At 35.6% G+C, this 25,640-nt stretch overlaps 1 protein-coding gene across 15 annotated transcripts in view; it reads left to right on the top strand.

Annotated features, from left to right (window-relative positions):
* The window catches only part of MCF2 (MCF.2 cell line derived transforming sequence), a 126,398-nt gene that overhangs the window by 81,590 nt on the left and 19,168 nt on the right, over positions 1 to 25,640 (top strand). For 8 of the 15 annotated variants that reach the window (NM_001171876.2, XM_047442112.1, XM_005262413.5 and 5 more), the window contains 12 exons: positions 271 to 385; positions 6,872 to 6,991; positions 8,874 to 9,065; positions 10,105 to 10,296; positions 11,526 to 11,697; positions 13,315 to 13,362; positions 16,240 to 16,277; positions 18,799 to 18,887; positions 20,799 to 20,865; positions 21,594 to 21,709; positions 21,828 to 21,897; positions 24,080 to 24,172. In NM_001171876.2, coding sequence (NP_001165347.1) covers positions 271 to 385; positions 6,872 to 6,991; positions 8,874 to 9,065; positions 10,105 to 10,296; positions 11,526 to 11,697; positions 13,315 to 13,362; positions 16,240 to 16,277; positions 18,799 to 18,887; positions 20,799 to 20,865; positions 21,594 to 21,709; positions 21,828 to 21,897; positions 24,080 to 24,172 — 1,312 coding nt within the window. Of the gene's footprint in view, positions 1 to 270; positions 386 to 6,481; positions 6,514 to 6,871; positions 6,992 to 8,873; positions 9,066 to 10,104; positions 10,297 to 11,525; positions 11,698 to 13,314; positions 13,363 to 16,239; positions 16,278 to 18,798; positions 18,888 to 20,798; positions 20,866 to 21,593; positions 21,710 to 21,827; positions 21,898 to 24,079; positions 24,173 to 25,640 lie in introns of those variants that run through there. The other 7 variants (NM_001099855.2, XM_047442111.1, NM_001171877.2 and 4 more) reach the window with 2 other exon arrangements.

The following is a 25,640-nucleotide window of genomic DNA, read 5'->3' as shown; positions in this document are numbered from 1 at the left end:
GAAAGGAAATTATACATTTTTGCTGCAATATGTTAAGTGTTAAAGTATTCCTGGACCTCTGGAAATCTGAGAACTTATTTCTAGGTTGTCCTACAGAGATGATTTTGCTTGTAGAAGAGAGTCTGTGGACATTGGTTGTCTCTATAGGTAGAACCAAGTGTCATGGGCTATGACTTTGCCTATAATTCTTAATGTCCAGACCACACTTATCTACATACTTACAAAACAGATAGTTGCTTTTAGGAATTTATTGGAGTTTTCTTTCTTAAGGTTGCTGACTCAAGTACATGATATGGAAACAGCTTTTGATGGATTTTGGGAAAAACATCAATTAAAAATGGAGCAGTATCTGCAACTATGGAAGTTTGAGCAGGATTTTCAACAGGTCAGTTAAAACATTTCTTTGTATACCTTTTTTCATTACACCAGAGGTTTTTACTCCTTAATCATGAGAAATCCTGCCTTGCAAGATGCCCATTTATACCTACAAAGAAAAAAAAGGAGGCAAATGTAAATGAACCTTGGCTTAGACTGAAGAAAATCTCTACTAAAATTCTGAGACTTCTACTTTTTCAGCTTACTCGTTTCCTTTGAGAAAGTATCAAACTGCCAATATATATGACAGGGACAAAGTTACTCTCTACTTTGGGGTTTGTTATTCAAATTTATCTTAGATCTAAAGGGTATTCAAGGTTATGAGGTAGCTTTCCAAGGGAATAATACCAACTTCCTTCTTGGTTTTTAAATCCCATGTACCTATGCTGACCATATTTAATAAGACCTAACAAGCTTTTATTTCTGATCCAGGAGTTTATTCCTGTGAAAAGCCTGAGAGATGAAATTAAATAAGTTTAATAAATAATTAAAAATACATTCCAATTGGACCTTCCTGGAAAATCCATCATATATGGTCAAGATGCATAGATTTAGTTTCTTTTCCTTTTGCGGTCATGTTCAACCTTATCACAGTCTCTCTCACAGTATATACTTCACCAGAGGATCCAAGGAAAACTCACTTGTTCCTCTTGCATGTGCCCAGCTTGTTTTCTGCCCATGAATGGCTTACTTGCTTTGTATTTCACTTGCTCATCAGAGTTAGGTTTCGGAGGAGCACTGTACTCTGGACGCGGGGCTCAGTTACCACTAGCGTTTTCTCTCCTTTGATTCAAACATCTTTTGAAATGTTCTGCATGAAACCTTCCCTAAAGAAAGAATAGGTCAGGTTGCTCTTGGTCCTTCTAGGTATTTGTGTTTCTCCCTCGTCTCCAACTGAATACACAGAAAATAGCACTTTTCCTGAACATACCCATTATGCTTATACTTACATATTAATTTGCATGCATACCAAATTCTTGTCCTGTGGTTATGTTCTGTTTCCCCAAGTCATTAATTCCTGTCTTTAATCAATATTGTTGTTTGTCTTAGATTATAATCTCACTGACATGGTGTGTCTCATAGTGACATGTCGACAAGTTCTGTATGTCTAGAAACATGACTTTTTAAAAAAACACGTAGAAACATAAACTTACAGAAAAATGGCAAATATAAGAAAAATAAAAATACCCATATACCTTCTTCCCAGATTAACTTAATGACAATATTTTACTCCATTTGCTCTATTATTTTTATTCCCTCCCTCATATATATACAGATAATATTTTTTTCTGATCTGACAAATAATATATTTTCTGACCCATTTGAGTGTAAGTTGCACACATGATGGCCCTTTCCCCCTAAATGCTTCCATTTTTTCTAGTAATAGGGATATTCTGTTATATAACCATAGTACAGTTATCAGATTCAGTACATTTAACAATGCAATACTTTTATATTATCTACCATTGGTATTTCAATTTTGTCAGTTGACTCAGTCAAGTCTTTTATAGCATTTATTTTTCCTTCAGAATCGGATCCTATATAGGGTCCAGTCTTGCATTAAGTTGTCTTGTGTCTTTAGTGCCCTTGAATCTAGAACATTTCCACAGCCTTTCTTTGTCTTTTATGACTCTGACATTTTGAAGAATATAGTCCTTTTTTTTTTTTTTTGAGACAGTTCTGTCTCCCAGGCTGGAGTACAGTGACACAATCATAGCTACTGTAGCCTCAAACTCCTGGGCTTAAGCCATCCTCCCCCCTCAGCCTCCCAAGTAGCTGGGACTACAGGTATGCACCACCATGCCTGGCTAACTTTTTAATTTTTGTGGGGATGGGGTCTCACTGTGTTGCCCAGGCTGGTCTGCAACTCCTAGGCTCAAACAATCCTCCCGCCTCAGCCTCCCAAAGTGCTGGGATTCCAGGCATGAGCTATAAGGACTCATGCCCAGCCATAGTCCCTTTTGAAATGCATTTTTCTTCATTTGGAGTTTGTTGGACATCTTCTCATGATTCTATTTAGTATATATGACCAGCTAGAATACCACATTAGTGAAGTGTCCTTCTTAAGGAATCATATCTGCAGGTGAATGAAGCCTACCTCCCTCTTATTGTTGATGTGGATTCTGATTACCTATTCAGGGTGTTGTTGAATTTCTCCACTGTAAAGCTACTTTTACTCCCCTTCTAACTAGTAGGAAATGTGTGGGGAGAAAATTTAAGGTTATGCAAATATCCTCCTTCTCATAAAAATTTCCCCGTAAATTTAGCATCAACTGATGATGTTTGCCTGGACAAATCTTTGCTGTGATGGTTGCAAAATAATGATTATTTTCAACTCCCATGTCCAGTCCACATTTATCAGTCCACACTAGGCATTCTACTGAAGCAAGAGCCTTCCCTTCTCTCCATTTATTTCTTTATTTGATTCAAAGATTTTTACTTATTGGTTTTTAAAACTTTCAACTTTTATTTTAGATTCAGGGCATACACATGCACGTTTGTTACATGGGTATACTGTTACATGGGTATACTGTTACATTTGAGGTGTGAATGATGCCGTTACTCAGGTAGTGAGCATAATATCCAATAGTTAGTTTTTAAGCCCTTGCCTTCCTCCTCTTCCCCCTTTTGGTAGTCTCCAGCATTTATTGTTCTGTCTTTATGTCTATGTGTAACCAATGCTTAACTTCCACTTATAAGTGACAACATACTGTGTTTGGTTTTCAGTCTCTGTGTTAGTTTGCTTAGGATAATGGCCTCCAGCTGCATCATGTTGCTGCAAAAGACATGATTTTGTTTTTTTTATGGCTGCATAGTATTCCATGATGTATTTGTACCACATTTTCTTTATCCAGTCCATCATTGATGGGCACCTGGGTTGATTCCAAGTCTTTGCTATTGCGAATAGTGCTGCAGTGAACATACAATTGCATTGCCTTTTTGATAGAATGATTTATTTTCCATTGGGTATATACTCAGTAATGGGATTGCTGGGTCAAATGGTAGTTCTGTCTTAAGTTCTTAAATATTCAGGATGCCTTCCACAGTGGCTGAACTAATTTACTTTCCCACCAGCAGTGTATCAGCGTTCCCTTCTCTCCATAGCCTCACCAGCATCTGTTCCTTTTTGTCTCTTTAATAATAGCCATTCTGACTGATGTGATATGTTATCTCATTTGATTTGCATTTCTCTGATGATTAGTGATATTGAGCATTTTCTCCTCTTTGTTGGAAATCTGTATGTCTTCTTTTGAGAAGTATCTGTTCATGTCCTCTGCTCACTTTTTAGTGGAGTTATTAGTTTTTTTTTATTTTATTATTATTATACTTTAAGTTTTAGGGTACATGAGTACAATGTGCAGGTTCGTTACATATGTATACATGTGCCATGTTGGTGTGCTACACCTATTAACTTGTCATTTAGCATTAGGTATATCTCCTAATGCTATCCCTCCCCTCGCCCCCCACCCCACAACAGGCCCCAGAGTGTGATGTTCCCCTTTCTGTGTCCATGTGTTCTCATTGTTCAATTCCCACCTATGAGTGAGAACATGCGGTGTTTGGTTTTTTTGTCCTTGCGATAGTTTGCTGAGAATGATGGTTTCTAGCTTCATCCATGTCCCTACAAAGGACATGAACTCATCATATTTTATGGCTGCATAGTATTCCATGGTGTATATGTGCCACATTTTCTTAATCCACTCTATCGTTGTTGGACATTTGGCTTGGTTCCAAGTCTTTGCTATTGTGAATAGTGCCACAATAAACATACGTGTGCATATGTCTTTATAGCAGCAGGATTTATAATCCTTTGGGTATATACCCAGTAATGGGATGGCTGGGTCAAATGGTATTTCTAGTTCTAGATCCCTGAGGAATCGCCACACTGACTTCCACAATGGTTGAACTAGTTTACAGTCCCACCAATAATGTAAAAGTGTTCCTATTTCTCCACATCCTCTCCAGCACCTGTTGTTTCCTGACTTTTTAATGATCGCCATTCTAACTTGTGTGAGATGGTATCTCATTGTGGTTTTGATTTGCATTTCTCTGATGGCCAGTGATGATGAGCATTTTTTCATGCGTTTTTTGGCTGCATAAATGTCTTCTTTTGAGAAGTGTCTGTTCATATCCTTCGCCCACTTTTTGATGGGGTTGTTTGTTTTTTTCTTGTAAATTTGTTTGAGTTCATTGTGGATTCTGGATATTAGCCCTTTGTCAGATGAGTAGGTTGCGAAAATTTTCTCCCATTCTGTAGGTTGCCTGTTCACTCTGATGATAGTTTCTTTTGCTGTGCAGAAGCTCTTTAGTTTAATTAGATCCCATTTGTCAATTTTGGCTTTTGTTGCCATTGCTTTCGGTGTTTTAGACATGAAGTCCTTGCCCATGCCTATGTCCTGAATGGTATTGCCTAGGTTTTCTTCTAGGGTTTTTATGGTTTTAGGTCTAACATGTAAGTCTTTAATCCATCTTGAATTAGTTTTTGTATAAGATGTAAGGAAGGGATCCAGTTTCAGCTTTCTACATATGGCTAGCCAGTTTTCCCAGCACCATTTATTAAATAGGGAATCCTTTCCCCATTTCTTGTTTTTGTCAGGTTTGTCAAAGATCAGATGGTTGTAGATATGCGGCATTATTTCTGAGTGCTCTGTTCTGTTCCATTGATCTATATCTGTGTTTTGAGAGTTATTAGTTTTTTGCTTGTTGAATTGTTTAAGTTCCTTACAGATTCTGGATATTAGATTTTTGTCAGATGCATAGTTTGTGAATATTTTCTCCCATTCTGTAGGTTGTCTGTTTACTCTGTTGATAGCTTCTTTGGTTATGCAGAAGCTCTTTAGTTTAATTAGGTCCCACGTATCAATTTTTGTATTTGTTGAAATTGCTTTTGAAATTTTAGTCATAAATTCTTTCCCAAGGCCAATGTCCAGATTAGTGTTTCCTAGCTTTTCTCCCAAGATTCTTGTATATTGAGGTCTTGCATTTAGATCTTTAATCCATCCTTAGTTAATTGTTATATATGGTGAAAGGTAGGGGTCCAGTTTCACTCTTCTTTATATGATTAGTCAGCTATCTCAGCACCATTTGTTGAATAGGGAGTCCTTTCCCCTTTGATTATTTTCGTTGATTTGGTAAAAGATCTGATGGTTGTAGATGCGTGGCTTTATTTCTGGGTTCTCTATTCTGTTCCATTGGTCTAAGTGTCTGTTTTTGTACCAGGACTATGTTGTTTTGGTATAGTTTGATGTCGGGTAATATGTTATTTCTGCCCTTGTTCTTTTTGCTTATGATTGCTTTGGCTATTTGAGCTCTTTTGTGGTTCCATATGAATTTTAGAATAGTTTTTCTAATTCTGTGAAAAAGGCTGTTGGTAGTTTGATAGGAATAACATTGAATTGGCAGATTATTTTGGACAGTATGGCCATTTGAATGATAGTGATTCTTCAAATCTATGAGCATGGAATGTTTTCTCCATTTGTTTGTGTCATGTATGATCTATTTCAGCAGTGTTTTGTAGGTCTCCTTATAGAGATTTTTCTCCTCCTTGGGCTACATGTATTACTGGGTATTTTATTCTTTTTGTGGTCATTGTAAATGAAATTGCATTCTTGATTTGGCTTTCAGCTTGAACATTATTGGTGTATAGAAATGCTACTGATTTTTGTACATTGATTTTGTATCGTAAAACTTTCCTGAAGTTGTTTATCAATTCTAGGAGCCTTTTGGTAGTCTTTAGTGTTTTCTAGGTATAGAATCATGTTGTCAGCAAAGAAAGATGATTTGACTTCTTTTCTGATTCCTAGTTTTTTGATTGTTTATAATTTATTAGTGTTCTTGACTATTGTGGTGTTTCAAACTGCTGCTGTGTCCTTGTGACATACTCCAACATTTAAATAAATCACTTTCTTACTTTCTGGCATAAAAATATATTCCAAGTTCATCTTGTACCTATTCTGCCTCAACCCTGGAATCAGTTATTTCCTTGAGGAGCCCTGGTTTCTTTTTCTGGGAAATGGTATTAAAGACCAAGGTCTGGGTGGGAGATGTGCTTATTACTTCTGGAGGGCTTTTGCTTTTAGGATAATTCACCAGAGAGCTGGGGAATGATGAAAAAAACACTTAGATGAAAATTCTCAGGTAAGATTTTGTTTTAGATATTTGCTATATATATATACACACACACACACACACACACACACACACAAATGTATATATACCTATACATACCTCACACGTATACATTTATGCAAATACATGTCCTCATATACGAACCTACACATGTACATGGTGATCTTTTATACATCAAGAGTACACATTGATATCTATGAGGTTAAATTTTAACAGATTATAGCTATTTCTGTGAATAAAATAACCAAATTTTTTATATGTGTAATTTCTCCATGTCAATATTTTTGTTTAAAAGCATTTTGTATAAAACTTGATCATAAGGGGATAAATTTTATGTTTTTAAAACCTCTTTGTTTCGTATTTTTAGCTTGTGACTGAAGTTGAATTTCTATTAAACCAACAAGCAGAACTGGCTGATGTAACAGGGACTATAGCTCAAGTAAAACAAAAAATAAAAAAATTGGAAAACTTAGATGAAAATTCTCAGGTAAGATTGTATTTTAGATGTCTGCTATATTATACAGTATAATAGTCATGTTTTGGCGGGAGTAGGTAGTATAAACCCTTATTATTAATTTCTTTATTTTTATTTTTCCATAAGTTACTGGGGTATAGGTGGTATTTGGTTATATGAGTAAGTTCTTTAGTGGTGATTTGTGAGATTTTGGTGCACCCATCACCCGAACAGTATACACTGCACCCTATTTGTAGCCTTTTATCGCTTGCCTTCCTCCCATCATAACAACATTCTGTATATCAGGCACAATTATATTGGTCTATATTCTGTTTTGTTCAATGCAGGCCAGAGGTGACACTACAGATATATCATGTAGTTAGTTGTAAAAGGAGGTCACTGAGACAATGGCGTGAACTGTTTCAAGCCCACCAATAAGAACAAGGGCATAAATTATTTTGGAGAAGCTAGAAAAATGTGTATGAAGAATGATATATGGTGCTTGGAAATGATGGGAACATACAAGAACATAATTCCTTAAATGCCCACTTTAGGATATATGCAGTTTAACCAAATGGAGACTCACATAGATATTTCTACTTATTCTTACTATCTGTGACCTTGAGTAAATTGGTTTCTAATCCTCAGTGTCTTCATCTATAAACTGGGGATAAAATGACCTACTTTGCAGAGCAATTGTGAATATTCATTTAGGTGTATATAAAGCACCTGGCACAACACTGGACTATATAGTAACCACTCAAAAGAGGCAGTTTTCATTATCCCTGCTAGTCTTAAATTTTGGACTAGTGGCTTTAATACTTAAAAAACTCTTAGCTTTTATGTGAGAGCAAGGCCATGCTTTTTATGTGAGAGCAAGGCCACGCTTTTTAAGATGAATTCTCAGCATACAAACAGATTTATGGGTGAACCATGAGTATGTGAAAACAAATATTGAAGAAGCAACAGTTATGATAACTAGTTCTGGAATTATGCTTGTAGATCTGTGTGATCATGGGACACTTTACATAGCCCTATGGTATAGTAGAAAGAGGAGGCAAACTGGTTTGGAAACTAAGGGAGACTTAATTTTTTTCCATTTAATAATTTTTCGTTTCTAATTGTGGTAAAAACACATAACATGAAATTTACCGTCTTAATCATTTTTAAATGTTCAGTTCAGTAGTGATAAGTAAATTCGCGTTGTTGTGCAACAGCTCCAGAACTTTTTCACCTTATAAAATTGAAACTGTATACCCATTAGACAACAGCTCTCCATTTTAAACCTGGTTTTCCCACTAGATAGAGAGGCCAGTCATTTCCTCATTCTGTGTTTGAGTTTTATTTATTTTATTTTGACAAGCATTTCTTGAACCCCTACTATGTTCGAGTCTCTACACTGGGGGGAGTGAGTAGTTGATGGAGTGGAGGCAAGGCCACTAAAGGTCATTTTTTGACATAGAAACCCTGTGACTTCAGGTATGTGAAGTAGTCCAGGTACATGACAACTCTGATGAGATTTCTAAGGCTGAGATGATATGAAATACACTTGGCTGGTGTGTATACCTCATTTAATATAGGTGGTTCTATTCTAAATCCACACATATTAGGAGAAAAAATCTCACCCACATTCTGTGTGTGATGTGCAATTTTCAGTTTCTATAACCAGAAATGCATGAGCTTCTAATGACATCACTGCTGCAGCTAATTATTATAACTGTAAGTTTTTGTTTTTGTTTTTTTGTTTGTTTGTTTGTGTTTTTTTTTTTGCAGCCTGAAGAAGTAGACATCAAATTGTATTTTTGGCAATGTATCCTTCTTGCTCAAACATTTTGCTTCTTAATTATTTTCTTCTTTTTTTCTCTATAGGAACAGAGATCATGTATTCATTATTTTTTGTCTTTGTTATAATCAGGAGCTATTATCAAAGGCCCAGTTTGTGATATTACATGGACACAAGCTTGCAGCAAATCACCATTATGCACTTGATTTAATCTGCCAGAGGTGCAATGAGCTACGTTACCTTTCTGATATTTTGGTTAATGAGATAAAAGCAAAACGGATACAACTCAGCAGGACCTTCAAAATGCATAAACTCCTACAGCAGGTAGTGTAATGGGAAATGATCCATTTCTGAAAAGGAACACACATTTTTTTCCAGGTCCTGCTAGCCTGAAGCACCTTGCCCTCCTGTCGCATGGAATACTTTTCATCTTCTCAGAGGTTATATGGTCAGGGACTGGTATAGCTTTGGAATTAAATTTGTAAGAAGTCTGAAGGACTGAGTTTGATTATGATTTTTTCATCCATCTACCAATGAACTATTCATGAAAGATCCAATATAGTTCAAATTTTACCCTTTGTTCTAAATATTGAGATTGTGGAGTAATGGCTTCCTTTGTATTTTCGATACATCTCTGAAGCCTTCACTGGTGATGGTTTGTACTTGGAACATTTTTAAAAACCTGGGGGGGCATTTTGCTAAAGCCTGAAACTCCTTTCACATTTCATAGTACAGAAATAAAATATTAAACAGTGACTGGAAAATATTCCTCCATGGCTTGTGGGTTTGACCCTTTTCACGATTAGGCAATGAATTGACAGGTCACCGTATGGACCTGGTGTTGGCAGTGGAATATAAAATAGGGGTATCACTTACAGACATTATATCTGAACATAAACATTTTAATCTTTACATCTCATTCTTTGGGAAGGAAACTTTATTCTTGTCTTTAGCCATCATTAAGCATTTGTATTACACTTTATATTTTTCTAAGAATTTCATATTTCAGTTACTGATTTTGGGAAAGTAACATGCAACTAAGTGTTAGTGCTGAGAAAATGGTCGGACTCCTGCTGCAGAATAAATTAGTTGTTGTGAAATAAATGCAGTGTTTCCCAACCTCGGCTGTGTATCAGCAGTATCTGTGGAGCTCTGTAAAAGTATAAATGCCCAACTTATGGCCCAGAGCTACTGAATCAGAATTTCTGGGGGCAGAACCCAGATATCTTTTTTTTTTTTAACAGCTCTGAAAGCATTTCTGACTCACGGAAGCCAGAGGCTGAGAACCACTCACTTATTGGACAAATATGTTTTCTCTTTATTAATTCATATTTTTTTTTTTTCTTCTTGATTTTCTTACCAGGCTCGTCAATGCTGTGATGAAGGGGAATGTCTTCTAGCTAATCAGGAAATAGATAAGTTTCAGTCTAAAGAAGATGCTCAGAAAGCTCTCCAAGACATTGAAAATTTTCTTGAAATGGCTCTACCCTTTATAAATTATGAACCTGAAACACTGCAGTATGAATTTGATGTAATATTATCTCCTGAGCTTAAGGTAGAGGCTTTTTTATTTTCAAATAAATATTTAAAGAAAATTATAATTGCAGTACTGTGGGTAGGAGGAGTTTTACTACCTCACAGCTAACTTTATGTCAAATTGCACTTACATTGTCCTCTTAGGGGTGATAGTAGTGCCACTGTCAAGCATCAAATAATTCAAAGGCATATGTTTGCTATATAATGAAGAATAATTTCCTTTTTGAGCTCCAAATCCATTATTTTAAAACTCTTTTATGTGCTAGGTGTTCTCACACATATTTTGTTGTGCATCACTGGAGAAAGGCCCAAAGCTCTTCTATAACAGAATGTTGGGTCCATGTCAAGAGCACTTTACCCCAGACATCTTTCCTTTGTGCTGCAGTGACCATCAGCAGATGCTCTGTGGATGATGTTGCTTTCCTACTCAGTTTGAGAATGAAAGCATAAAGATAGGATTTGGGTCTTCTTGGAGAAGGAGGAGCAGGCAGAAGTTGGTGTTAACAGGGTGGACAGCTATAGGTTAGTTCAGTACTGCCCCCTTGGAAATGACATGAAGAATTTTCCACATTGTAGATAAGAGCATTTGTGATGCTATTTGCTGCTAAAATGTGTAGTTGACTCTAAGATTGGAGCAGTATCTAGATCCATGCTTAGCGGAATATCCTAGGGGATGCCCCAGGAAATCAGAAATGCAGTCATGGCAATAGCCAAGTGATTCTCTGGAAGCAACCAAGCTTAACTCTAGCTGCCTCAAAGCATCTAGGAGAGGTACAAAGGTGTATTATCCATTGGTGGCTCTGAGGAGCCTGCTGCAACATAGAAGACTATAACAAGAATGTCCTACAGGGTAAAATGTAACAAAATATTATACCGATGTTATTCATTTGATTGTTTTTATAACTTGGTGGCTTTCTTATGCTAAACAGGAAAGAGCAATATGCCTTCTTTCCCAGCCATTATCTGATTCAGCCAATGAACCAATGAAGGGCAAATCACTCTATGCAGTGACCAATTTCATGACTGCTTCTTGGTAATTTTTTCCCTCAGGTTGTTTTGGTTGAGATTTTGGTTTTATATCCATGTGAACATAATACATTAATCTGTCTTGTTATTTTTCTAAATGTCTTGTAGTTATATTTTAAACTCTAAATTATTTTTTTGACCATCTGAGTCTGAGAAATGTAATGGGGTTTGTAATGACCTCATTTCATAAAATATTTCCTATAATTCTTATACAACTCGCAGGTTCAAATGAAGACTATACAACTCAAGCTTGAAAACATTCGAAGTATATTTGAGAACCAGCAGGCTGGTTTCAGGAACCTGGCAGATAAGCATGTGAGGCCAATCCAATTTGTGGTACCCACACCTGAAAATTTGGTCACATCTGGGACACCATTTTTTTCATCTAAACAAGGTAAAATGTCTTACTTTCTCTGTCTCTTTTTTTCTTGCTATTGTTTATATTGTTACTCTTGATGTAAATACTGAGTTTATTCTTCAATGCGGATAGATGAAAATTTCACTTTAGCATCTTTGGTCATATTTATATTGTGCAAGGCAAGAGTCAGATTGAGGTTATTGTACAGTACTAAAACATAGTAGTGATATAGTACAGTACAAGGAATTGTGAACGTCTCAGTACTGAGTACTCCAGCCTTGAAAATGAGTATGAAAATTTTACCAGCATCAAACTTGCATTTTTTTCCAGCAGGTGAAGGAAAGTATATGAAGCTAGTATACACATGTGTGCATGCACACACACACACACACACACACACACACACACATATTTACTGCTACTCTAGATAAGCAATGATTTGGTTCCTTTTTATTTGTATAAATGTGGGAGTACAAGTACATAGAGTTTTGTTACATGAATATATTGCATAGTGGTGAAATATGACTTGGTTCTTATAAGCTTCTAGTAAGTGAATGGCTTAGATAATAAAATGGATTGCCTTTTCTAAATAAATGCTGTTAAATAGAATAATTTTGTTGGTAATTTACTATTACAGAGTTCATTTTCTAGTTTTAATCTCCTAGTTTTATCCATGTAAGATCTATTTTCTTTCTAAGTTCTATGGAAATAATAATTGTCCTTATAATGTGTTGAACTACTCTGGATATGGATGGCTCAGGGGTTCCCTTGAGCTGCCTTTGGGGCTTCTTAGAGGAGAGTAATTTGGTCTTTAGGGCCCTAAGTAAGTGGAATGGGTGAAGATGGGAGTAAATTTGGTCTGTCTGATCTAAATAGAGTCAGAAGCTTCATTAGTGTAGGAGAACTGCTTTGGAATTCAGAGAAGGCTTGAGCCAAGGATAATGAGCATAAAAATAATAGCTTATATCTAGCATGGATCAGATTTTCAAAAGGTGATGAAAGCAGGTAACTAGGCTAAGATTATGAAAGTTACATGTTTAATACTTATGAAATATATAAATATATTTACAAATAAAACTATAAGCAATGTCTTAAATACAATATCAAAGATATAGCAAAGATACAGGGAATATTAAAACTACTGGAAAAAGAGTAAAGATAACAAAATAAAAAACAGTAAGGGGATAAAACCCGATAGCTATGAGAATAAAACTGAAATAGGTTGATATTCTTGAGCAGAAGACAGACCTCGGTTAGATTTCTGGCTCCATGTACTGGCTGTGTGTCCTTGAACAGTTCACTTAGCCTCTTTAGCCTCAGTTTCCTTACCTGGACAATAAGGACGATAATACCTATTGACTCCAACAGGTTATTGTAAAGATAGGGTGAAAAAAATTGAAGACTATAAAAAAATACTTGATAAACTGGACTAGTCCTTTCCTCTGGTTAAAGCTGCTTGCTTAATTGTCCTCTAAAATCTCAACTCTTTCTAGAGGTTCTTAAAGTGGTACACCTTGGGTTGAGGAACGGAGTTTTGAGGAGACTGTTACAGATCCATGCAAGTCATTAGTCACTCATTAGCACATTTTGTTTTGTATTGTTTCATTTTTTTCTGATATTCTTATTTAATGGCGTTACAATTTCCTTCTGCAGTGGGAGTTGGATACTCTTTCTTTCAAGCATGTAAACTTTTTTCAAAAGGTACCCATCTTTATTATATTACTTTTGCCAATACATTTTTCTGAGTTTGTGTACATGTGAAAAACCAGTTTGGCATCTAAAAACAGCAGCAGTTCATTGTTGCATTCTACCTGCAAGTAACTTTTTCCTGTTTTTCATAATAACCATCCATTATTCTCTTTGTATTATGCTTATGTTGGAAAATGACTATATAAAATGTAGATTATGGTTCTAAATTCAATGTCTTTCATAAAGTGACCCCGCAAAAAGAATAAAGAAAAACAATTGGCGATGCTAAAATGAATCAGGCCTTCTTTTGTTTAAGATACTTCATGATCCAACTTTTTGTTAGGAGTAGCTTGGATTTGCTTCAGTTTGAGACTGCCTAATGTATGTATGAGGATGAAGGCAGCTTAATAAATAAGTGACATGGATGGATAAATGTTTTTATCTATTATACATCATGCTTTGTAAATTAAATCAAAACATTATGTATGCTACAAACCTTGTTCATTTACCTAATTGCTCTGTTAGTAATAGGGATTATAACAATCCATTCCAAACAATTTCTTAAGACTTTTAATCGCTAAGCCAAATATATAAAATTTGGTCAACTCAAAACATAAGTATTAATTTCTCATAAAAATGAGTCAAACTGTTTTTTTGTTCTTTGGTTTTATTTTAGTTTTTTTTTTTCTTTTTGCATTAAATATAATTCTGCACCTAGCACAGGGCCTGGCACTTAGCAAGATGTAATAAATATTTGTAGAATTAACATTGAATATAGAGTGTAGTTATTGAGAATGGGAGATATTGACAGCGAGGAATAAAATGTAAAATGTGACTTGAGCTCCTAAATCTGGATCTTTAGCCTAGATCTTTCTTCTAAGCTTTGGATCTCTGTTTATAATTTGCCTTTTTGAATTTCCCATAGGCAACTCAGACTCAACATACCTCAGATTAACTCATCTCTCCTGCAATCTTTCTACTCTTCATCTTGGTGAATGGCACTATGATTTCCCCAGTTGCCCAAGCCTGGGACCTTGGTTCCTCCTCACTTATGCCCTACCTCTAATTGATCAAAAATTCTATATCCTGTGGATTTGTGCCTACTAAGTATCTCTCTCGAATCCATTCACTTTTTTTTTTCATCCCCACTGCTATCCTTACTGCCACTTTCCTAATCCGAGCTAACATCATCCTGGCCTTGGCAACTGTGACAGTCTTTCTGTCTCTTCCACTTACCCTGCCCACTTCTTCTTCCCTTTCCTAGGTGTCTTACTTTGTGGACATTACACACACTGTTCTCTCTCTGGAACACTATTTCCTTTCCTCTCCCTTTCCCACATGTTAGCTTCTACTCCTCTATCAGATTTCCTATTTCTAGGCCACTTCCTTCAGGTAAGCTTTTCCTCCCCAGATCTCCTCCTTCCCTGCACCCCTGTTTGCTTAGGTGTTCATGCTGTGTGATAACAAGTACCCCCAAATTTCTTCTTGGCTTTAGTAGAATTGTCTGTTTTCTGTCTCTCTTGCTAAACTAAGCTCTGTAAGGGCAGAAACTGTGTGCAGTTCATCTTTGTATCCCTAAACACAGAGCTTAGCATATGGTGTAGGTGCTCAATCATTTTGTATGTATTTATATTGTTAAAAATGAATACATCTACCTTGCTTTGAAGAATAAGATGTGTTTCTCATAAGTTGTGCACATATTTATTTTGTATCTCTTAACGTATTTGCAAAGAATTAATTGGCAAAACTAACAATTGCCTCTTAAGTTACCTTTAAAAATAAGTTTGGATCTCTGTAGAACAGGTTTCTTTGAAGTGGAGCATATTAGTATTCATTGAGAAATTAATTTTGTATAATTCCCACTGTTTAATATATATTTACATATATGATGATATAAACTTGAAGTTTAGGTAGAAAATATATTTTAATAAGTGAAAGTGAAGTATGGAGTCTAGAGAACATAGCAGCCCTTCGTTTTCCTGAGTGTGCCTGTCACTGGCTCCTGCTGAGGAGGGAAGGACAAAAGGTTTGTTCCTTTCCTGGAGAGAGGAGTCTCATGCAGCCTGTGTGAGTAACAGCCTTTTCAGCAGCCCTGAGAATTAGGATCTAAACAATCTAGTCTTTGGTTGGACCATGCCTTCGGCTTTGTAGGAACGTCTGGATTCCTTGCTTAATAATACAGTGGCTCACCCTTTTTAAACTAAACATTTAAAAAATAAAGATGAAAGTTTTGAATTTTGATGACATGTTTAACATTTTATCATGCTTTGGAAATGTTTATATGGTGGTTAGAAACATTCTGAGAGTAGATTATATGAATTTGAATACCACCTCTGCTTCTTGGACAAGATATTAACCTTAATTCCTTATCTAGAAGATAGGGATAGAAGTTGTTACCTACCTCTTAGGATGATTTTGGGTATTAAAAAAGAAGATATATGCATAGCTCTTAGAACAGTGCTCAATATGTAGAAAGTGCCAAACAAGTGTAGATGCTCTAATTAGTAGATTAAACTTAGATTGTTTTCAAAATTCTTTTTGATTGAGTTAATCAATGAGCTACAATTTGATTAAATGTTTTTGTGTCAGAATGAATACTAAATCTGCAAATAATTATGAGCACTAACACCTACCTCAATGCTTGGCAAGTAAGTGAATGTTTGATGAATGAGAGAATGGGTGAATACATAGCAAAATCATGCTCAGTAAGAAGCTGAAATCATGTGAGTAAGTCCAACCAAACATTATCTTCTATAGTGTGATTTTAAAATACTAATATAAACATATTGGAATATTAACTCAAGTTATTTAATAAATATATATGTATTTCTATTAAAAGTGCTGACTTTAATTCTGGTTTGAAATTCTTCTTTCACATTTCTCTACCAGGGAAGAAGACTTGGAGACAAAATCAGAGCAACTTAAAAGTAAATATCATTAATTAATTCAAAATTGACTTTATTGCTTTAGTTGCAGAGTTGGTATGAGCCTTAAATCACATGTTTCATTCACTAGACAAATATTGTGTCTTTGAAAGACTATTTAAAAGAAAAAAAGCTGCTGCTGCATTGTGTTTCACTGCATTACTGGCATATCCCCAGATATGCCAGTTTCTCAGTATGAGCTGTTTCTCAAGTCCTGGCTCAAGGTTAGAATCATTTCTGTAGAACATCTTGTATATGTTCCAGCTTCTTTTTACCACCACCCACCATCACTTCAATAATCGTAAGTAAGCGTTGCACCTTTGTGCAGAATAAACTTTCTTTCATGAGCAATTCCAGTCCTACAAGTATGAAGCACACAGGACAGGTTCTAATGGACCATGCAGAGGCTAACTCTTAGCTCAAAAAAGATATCCATTCTTTTTTGTTGTTGTTTTTAAGTTTTTTTAGAGACAGGGTCTCACTATGTTGCCAAGGCTGGAGTGCAGTGGCCATTCACAGGGGTGACCATAGCTCACTGCTGCCTCTAATTCCTGGGCTCATGCCACCCTTCCACTTCAGCCTCCTGAGTAGCTGGGACTACAGGTGTGCATCACTGTGCCCAATCTACTTACTTATTGTTAGATACAAGATTCTGTTCTTCTCAGTTATCCATGATAATCTGATATCTGTAAAGAAGTAGACTCATCATAGCTACAACATCCCACATTTTCTTTTCTCTCTCTCTTTTTTTTTTTGAGACAGGGTCTCGCTCTGTTGCCTAGGCTGGACTACAGTGGTGCGATCATAGCTCACTGCAGCCTCAAACTCTTGGGCTCAAGAAATCCTACCACCCCAGGCTCCTGAGTATCTTAGACTACAGGCATGGGCCATTATGCCAGGCTAATATTTTTAACACTTTTTTTGATAGACAGGGTCTTGCTATGTTGCCAAGGCTGATCTTAAACTCCTGGCCTCAGGTGATCCTCCCGCCTTGGTCTCCCAAAGTGTTGGGATTACAGGCATGAGCCACTGCTCCCAGTCCCCAAGACCCCACATTTTCTTCTTGTGTTTTTTGTGGTAAATAAAGATGAGAACATATTTTTAAGGGGCAGTATAGCATAGTGGTACAAATTGTAAAACTAGGCTGCCTGGCTTATAATCCCAGTTCCATCACTTACTGGCTATATAAACTTGGGTAAGTTCTCTGGAACTCAGTTTCCATATATAAAATGGGCATAAAAATAGAACACTCTCATCATGGAGTTAAAGATAAAATAATCTAATATTTGTGAAGCACCTTGAACATGTGTGGCATATGATAATGCTCTAAGTTTTAATATAATTAATAGCAGCCTAGTGAATGGTCTATACTGATACACGAAGCCTGGTTATTATTCTGTACGGCCACAACTTCTGGTTTCAAGAAAGAAACAGGGTGAATGCCAAATTCTGTAGTATTACATGTTGTAAAATCTGTCTGAGCCTCAGTTTTCCCATATTTAAAATGAGGAAAAGAATGCCATTGCTTGCTAAATGCTGTTTGGATTAAATATAATATGTGTTAAGCACCTAGGACTGTGGTTGCCTAATATATAGAAAGTCATAATACATGCTTGTTTCTTTCATTTGTAATAAGTAGGTCACATTTTGGGGAAATATTTAGCTGATAGATACTGTACTTCATTTTGGGTTCTAGTTGTCCCAAAGAAATGTTACATTTACTTGGAGGTCAGGCTTTTGGCAAGCTCAGCTGTCCAATACAGCTGAGATTGGATACCAGGAATACACTTCAAATGCTTCTTAAAAGAAATAATCATCACAAATCTTTTGCAGTTGACTCGGTAGGCCAGTCCAAGTCCTTTAGAGTCTGTAAAATAAGGCAATTTATTAGAATTAGGGAGGCAACTTATAGCGACTAACATGTGGCAGGGAGTAGAGACAGAGATGTACAGGTTACAGTTATTTCAAGAAAGAATAGAGTTCTGCAGGTATCCCTGCAGCACATCATTAGATTTTATCATATTCAAGCTTATGATGATGCCATCGAATCATTAGGAAAAGGATCTTCTAGCTTGCCCCAGATCTTAGAAAAAAAAAAAGGAAAAGGATCAGTTATGTCGTGTGTCTTTGATTAAAGAATTCAAGGATGCATATAATATTTTCTAGAAAGGTTTCCATCAAAAATCACTATGGTTAAAAAGATGTTTGGTTCTTCAATGAATACCCTTTAGTTATCTAGAAAATTAACTTTTTATGAATCAACCTTATTTTCCAAGAATGCCAAATAAATAAAGAGTTAATACATAAAATAAGTTCTAATTAGTATCTTAAATCTGTTTTCTTAGGCAACTTAAATCACTTTTTACTAGTACGTATCAAAGTTATTTTGAAAAAAATCATAGTTTTATTTTTCAATTTATCTTCAGAGTTAGGACCTAGAATAAACTTAATTTGAGCTGGATCGCCTTGAAGAAAAATTATACCTACAGAGGTGCTAATTTAACTTTTATTTTCTGTATTTCAGATTGAAGTGGTGCCTGATTGTCAGGAGAAGAGAAGTTCTGGTCCATCCTCCAGTTTGGACAATGGCAATAGCTTGGATGTTTTAAAGAAGTATCCTTTATTTATTAATATAAACTCACATACACATCTAACTGTGGGAGTCTGGTTCAGTGTTCAAGGCCAATGTGATTAGAAATTTGAGTTCACAGAATGGGGTTTTACTGGGTGTCAGAAGTCCAGGATTTAGGCCTGGCCAACCTATAGCCTATTTATGTGATTTGAAGAAAATTAACTAAACTTTTTCAGAATGTTGGTATCTTCTTTTTTTTACCCCAGACTGAAATAAAATGGAGGTTTTCGTTTATCATTCTTAAAAAAAGTTTTATTATTATTTTTCATTGACACATAATCATTGTACATATTTATGGAATACAGTGTGAAATTTTGATACATGTGTACAATGTATAATGATCAAATCATGGTAGTTAGCTTATCTATTAATTCTTCAGCTTTATTGATATATAATTGACAAAATTATGTATATTTAAAGTGTACAATGTGATGCTTTGATATGTGTATATATTGTGAAATGATTACCATATCAAGTTAGTTAACACATCTATCACCTCACGTAGTTACCATTTTTTTTTTGTGGTGAGAACAGTTAAGATCTATTCTCTCAGCAAATTTCGATATACGAAATGAATAGAGTGGTACATCAAAAATTACAAAGGATTATACAGATTGATACAATGTTATTTTATAGATGTTAATAATTGTTTTGTTCATTGTTATAATGGTATATTAATATTCTAGACATAAGAATATTCATCTTTTTAATTTGATGTTACAGTTGTAATTAGCAAGCATTTTGCAGCAAGTTGTATGTATACATATGTATGTATGAGATACATATATATATATATACAGACACATATTTATACTGTAAGACTCTCAAATGTTAAATGCTTTAATATGCAAAAAGAAAAAGAAAAAAAGCCAAAAGTATAAGTTAAATCAAATGGGTTACTTATACTGGGGACAAGGGAAATGAGTTTTAAATATGATGTCAATTGGAAATCACATTGAAAGGAAAATATACTTTATTTTCCAGAGACAGTAAACAAAATTATTACAGAAACAGGTGGGGCGTGGTTATTCACGCCTGCAATCCCAGCATGTTGGGAGGCCCAGGCGGGCGGATCACTTGAGGTCAGGAGTTCGAGACCAGCCTGACAAACATGGTGAAACCCCGTCTCTACCAAAAAATACAAAAATTAGCCAGGTGTGGTGGTGAGCGCCTATAATCCCAGCCACTAGGGAGGCTGAGGAAGGAGAATCTCTTGAACCCGGGAGGTGGAGGTTGCAGTAAGCCGAGATTACCCCACTGCACTCAAGCCTGGGTGACAGAGTGAGATTCCGTCTCAAAAATATATTTATATACATTACGGAAATATAAGTATGACCTACACTTGAGGAGACCAGGGTAAAAAAATCTGCGGCCTCCTTTAGAAAATTTCAGAACATTACTTTGAAAAGGGAAAAATAGTGCCTAAAATGCTAATACTTATTTTTTAGGGAAAAAAAGGGTATTAAAGTTCATAAACTATGCTACCCCCAAACAATAAAAACCTCAGACATTTAGGAATAGTTATTGTGAGTTTTTAGTACATTTATTCCTAATCTCAGTGAGTTAGAAATAAAGTTCTTTAAAGCTAATAGTAACCCTTGAGCATATATATGTGTATATATATGAAAGAAAGCGGGATATATATATATATATATGTTATATATATAATGAATATAAATACAATGTATAAAAACCACCCATAAGACTATATATATATATAGTTTTTATTCTAGAAACCATAAAAGTAGTTTCATATTTTGATGCTAAAACGAAAACCATTGATAATTCCTATGCATTAGCTATTTTTACCTTCTCATGATGATAATACTTGAAACATTGCAATATAGATCTCAGTAATAAAATAACTGATAAATATGGTCTTTTCATTTTAGCCACGTACTAAATGAACTGATACAGACTGAGAGAGTTTATGTTCGAGAACTGTATACTGTTTTGTTGGTAAGCGACTCAAATTGTATTTGCCCTATCTTTTCCCGAATGATCCCTTGCTACATTCATTAGAAAGTGTTTAGGGGCAATCTTCTACTTCCGTCTCCTTCCTTGGTTGTCATATGGCAGCAGTGGGCATTTCTTTTATTGTTTGATGCAGCATGTCGGTTAAACGTGCACATTCAGGCTCTCCCTCAGTAATGGGAATGATTGATTCAGAATTTATTACAGAAGAGAAAATGTTCTCTTAGGGATACAGCCGATTGTTACAATTATTCCCAGGGTGCTATTTAGAGATCGTGATGTAAAAAACTGAGAATGGGATAAAATATTCTTTTGACAAAAATGTCATGATATTAATTTGGTCTGAAAAAACCTAAGCACGTATTGCCAATTTAAGGAGAAGCTGATGACCTGTAGTCTATGTTTTTATCTTGGTTTCTATCTTGTTTCCTACACTACAAGCTACTCTGAAGGCCAAAGAGCTATTACTTTATTCTGCCTATTTGATTGGAAAACTTGACTTCCTTTCCTTGCCCTGCCTTCTAAAAAAAAAAAAAAAAAAGTCATGGATAACTTTGGGAAGTAGGAGATTTGAATTGAATTAAAATTGAAATAAAATTCAAAAAACTTCACCATCAAATCCCTTAATATTCTGCTGTACCTACACCATTAGTAGCCCAACCAAATGTGCATGTAATTATTTTAAAATGCATGAATGTATTTATTTTGGGTAGGGTTATAGAGCGGAGATGGATAATCCAGAGATGTTTGATCTTATGCCACCTCTCCTGAGAAATAAAAAGGACATTCTCTTTGGAAACATGGCAGAAATATATGAATTCCATAACGAGTATGTAATTGCTGAATTGAATATTTATTTTTTATAAAACTATTTAAAGTGCTCTCTTTACCAGTTTATTATATTTCACATAAAATCATGCAATTTTTTTTCTCTGAAATTTTCACAGCATTTTCTTGAGCAGCCTGGAAAATTGTGCTCATGCTCCAGAAAGAGTGGGACCTTGTTTCCTGGAAAGGGTTAGTTAAATTATTTTTTAAATATATATAAATATGCACCACCAAAATAGCAACTCACTTATAAGAACAGATTTGGAGACAAGATAGGTACTTTATGTCTTTATGTTTTTGGAGAGGACACATTACTCCAGCAAGTATTTAATACCAAACCAAGTTTTGCTGCAGAAATGGATGCACTGGGATATCCAGAGCATAAAAATACCCCTTCCATTCTGTGGTATCAAATGCTTCAGTGGCTCAGCTCTTGAACACTGACTCCTGGGTAATCCTAGTAATCCAGGGACCATCCTGACTATGAAGATGTAAGAGTTGGGATCATGATAACAAAACCATCTGGGGCTTGGTTAATTTTTTTTTTTTTGCCTAAAAAACACCTTATTATTTATATTATTTGTCTTATTAAAATACATGTAAAGTTTTAGAATTGGATCTAGTCTGACTTTCAGCCATCAAGGCATCTATCACAGGAACTTCACAGAAACAGAGAGCTGTCAGTTCTTTTCATTCAACAAAAGCATTTAGGGAGGCCCATTCCTCTGTGTCCCAAGTATGGTTAATACAATTGACTTCCCAGGTTAGTGATCATACTCTCCTCCATTAGTTTTCTTTTAGAATATTTTTTGTGTATGCTTCTCTGCTTATGCAGTTTCTCTTCTTCCTGAAAGATCAGTTTTGTCTTGATTTAAGAGTTAATTCAATAGAGGTGATTGTTGAAAGCTTCAAAATAGATGTCTTATCCCAGAAAGTGTTTATGAAATGAGAAGAGAATAAGGATAAGAAAGAACTGTGTGTCAACCTTGCTCAACGTGTTCTAACTTTATTTATTTTATTTTTTTATTTTTATTTTTGAGACAGTCTCACTCTGTCACCCAGGCTGGAGTTCAGTGGTGTGATCTCGGCTCACTGCAACCTCCACGTCCCGGGTTCACACCATTCTCCTGCCTCAGCCTCCCGAGTAGCTGGGACTACAGGTGCCCACCACCACGCCCAGCTAATTTTTTGTATTTTTAGTAGAGACGGGGTTTCACCGTGTTAGCGAGGATGGTCTCGATCTCCTGACCTCGTGATCTGCCCACCTCAGCCTCCCAAAGTGTTGGGATTACAGGCGTGAGCCACCGTGTCCGGCTAAGATGTTCTAACTTTAAGCATATTTAAATTATGACCAAATTCTTTCCCAACCTCATCAAGCAATAGCAGTTTATCCTTCCTTTAGACTCCATAGTATGTAATGTCTATCCTACTCATGGGAGATTTTATATTTACTGTGCTTGTGCACCTTTACATATATACGTGAATTTTCTCCCAAACTTAATGGACAGCCCTTAGAACGAGAGTCCATATCCTATATATTGTTGTATCTCTCATTGGGTTAGCAGCGTTCTTAGCAACCAGTTGTGGTTTAATAAATGTTTATTGATGAATTGTTTATTTATTCAACAACCATTTACTGGTCACCTACTATGCACCAAGCATTGTGCCAGATAATGTGGATACCAAGCCCAAATCTATTTAGATATAAAAACAGGGAAATTATTAATTGTGTAGAAGATGAGTTGCATTAGATTTGAAATATACAAATGGTCCTGGGAAAATCCAGAAGAGGGGCGTCTTGCATAGAATGGGGGTATAAACAATGGTTGTATAGAAGAGATAACTCATGAGATAAATGTTAAATAATGAGTAGGAGGTAGCCCATTCATGAGGGTCAGAGAAAGAGGATTCCAGGGAAAGAGAATTGCATAAGTGCCTAAATGGATTATGCTACAGTGATAAAGTCCCAGTGATGAACCTAGGACTGTAGGCTCTAACTTGGAAGTCAGCTACAAGTTCATTCACTAGGGAATCAAGAGACTAATAACAGAATATATTTCTTGGCAGCCTATTAGTTCATCGTTATGCAAAAAGTAGGTTTTTATAGTTCAGACAGAGAAGCCTCCATCTAAGCCTCAAGCTTGGCAAGTGGAAGCTCTGATATTACTTAGATAATTATGTGTCCTCCCACCAGATGCAATGGGCATGCTGTTCTTGGAATATAAAAAAGGCTTTTGACCAGCTGCTAGTACAGTAGGCCCTTTAGGCCACATTTCCTAGGATGCTTGGTTACACTCTTGTTTAGCCTTTCTTGATGGCAAAAGTCATATTCACAAATTAGTAATACATTTGAATTTGTTTTTTATCACAGAAGGATGATTTTCAGATGTATGCAAAATATTGTCAGAATAAGCCCAGATCAGAAACAATTTGGAGGAAGTATTCAGAATGCGCATTTTTCCAGGTACAGTAATTATTCAAGTATTGGATATATTCTTTCTGGAAGATATTGCGGTATTTCTTAATTATAAATTCATTTTCTACTTTAAGTACGTTACATGTGCATATACGTATATGAGTTAAAGAGCAAATCCACCCTCCCCCCCAACACACACAAACACATTTGTAACTTCCCAGAGGCAAACACTTTCAGCACTTTTAGCTACATCCTTTGGTATTTACCTCCATAGCTCCAAATGACATGCTTATCTTTATCCTTTATACTATGGAAGATGAAGATTTAGCTCTCTTTCACGCCCCTCCACCCACCCAACTACCACATATACAAATATACTTCTTTTCTTTCAAAATCTCCACTATAGTCATATCGTAATTTTGGTTAGATTGATATACAGTATTAAATTAAGACTACGTAATTTCTTTGCTCAGATGAATCATGTGGTATAATAGGGTTGCTTTTCCTACCCTTCTGTTTGTCTTGCAGTGGTTTTTTTACTCAGTTTTCTAGATACTTATCGTTATTCTACCCCAACCTCTCCCAGATGTGGGAGTTACAAAAATCTCTTCTTATTACATTTAAACACATTCTATTTTCTCTGAATTTCATATTCTTAAAGAAATATCTCCTGGGGTTTTCTGTCTTGCTTGTCTAGACTCACTAGGCTTGTTGCGCAGCTGTCATCTGGGGATCTTGGTGAACATAATTTTTGGAATTCTCCTCACCTGTCTATTGCATAGGCTCTCCTCATTCCTAGGTGCCATGTCTTTATTTTTCTTGTTTACCTCCCTTGTTTGGTGGAACACATCCTCCAGTAGTTTTCCCAAGAAAGTGTACACAGTACATAAAAGTTTTTGAGAGTGTATGTGTCTGCAAATATCTTTATTCTACCCTAAGACTTCATTGCTAGTTTGGCTGTGTATAGAATTCTAGGTAAGAAATAATTATACTCAGAATTTTGAAGGTATTGCTTGATTGTCTTCTAGCTTCCAGTGTTGCTATTCAGAAATCTGATGCCATTTTAATTGTTGTTCCTTTGTAGGTGACTTAGTTTCTGTCCTCTGAAAGCTTATGAAAACTTATTTTCAGTGTTCAAATGTTGGCACTATTTTTATCCATTATGCTAGTATTAGGGTGATAACTTTGAATTTGGAACCTCCTGTACAAATTTACTTGGAGGTTTTCTTTGATTTCCTCCACCCAATTGTCTCCATTTTCTCTTTTTGGAATTTCTGTTGTACGGATATTGGATATCCTGGACTGGTCCTCTAATTATCTTATCTTTTCTATTTTCCATTCTTTGTCTTATTACTCTACTTTCTAGTTCTTCCATTGAGGTTTCCATTTCTGCCATTGTGTTTTTAATTTTGAAGAGCCCTCATCCTTTTACTGTTTTTTCAATGTTTCTTTTAATAGAATTCTATTTTCATTTTATGAATTCAGTATCTTCATTCATCTATACAAAGATGATAAT

Source organism: Homo sapiens, chromosome X (assembly GCF_000001405.40).
Source record: "Homo sapiens chromosome X, GRCh38.p14 Primary Assembly".
NCBI classification, from domain to species: domain Eukaryota; kingdom Metazoa; phylum Chordata; class Mammalia; order Primates; family Hominidae; genus Homo; species Homo sapiens.
This window is presented reverse-complemented; position numbering and strand designations above follow the sequence as displayed.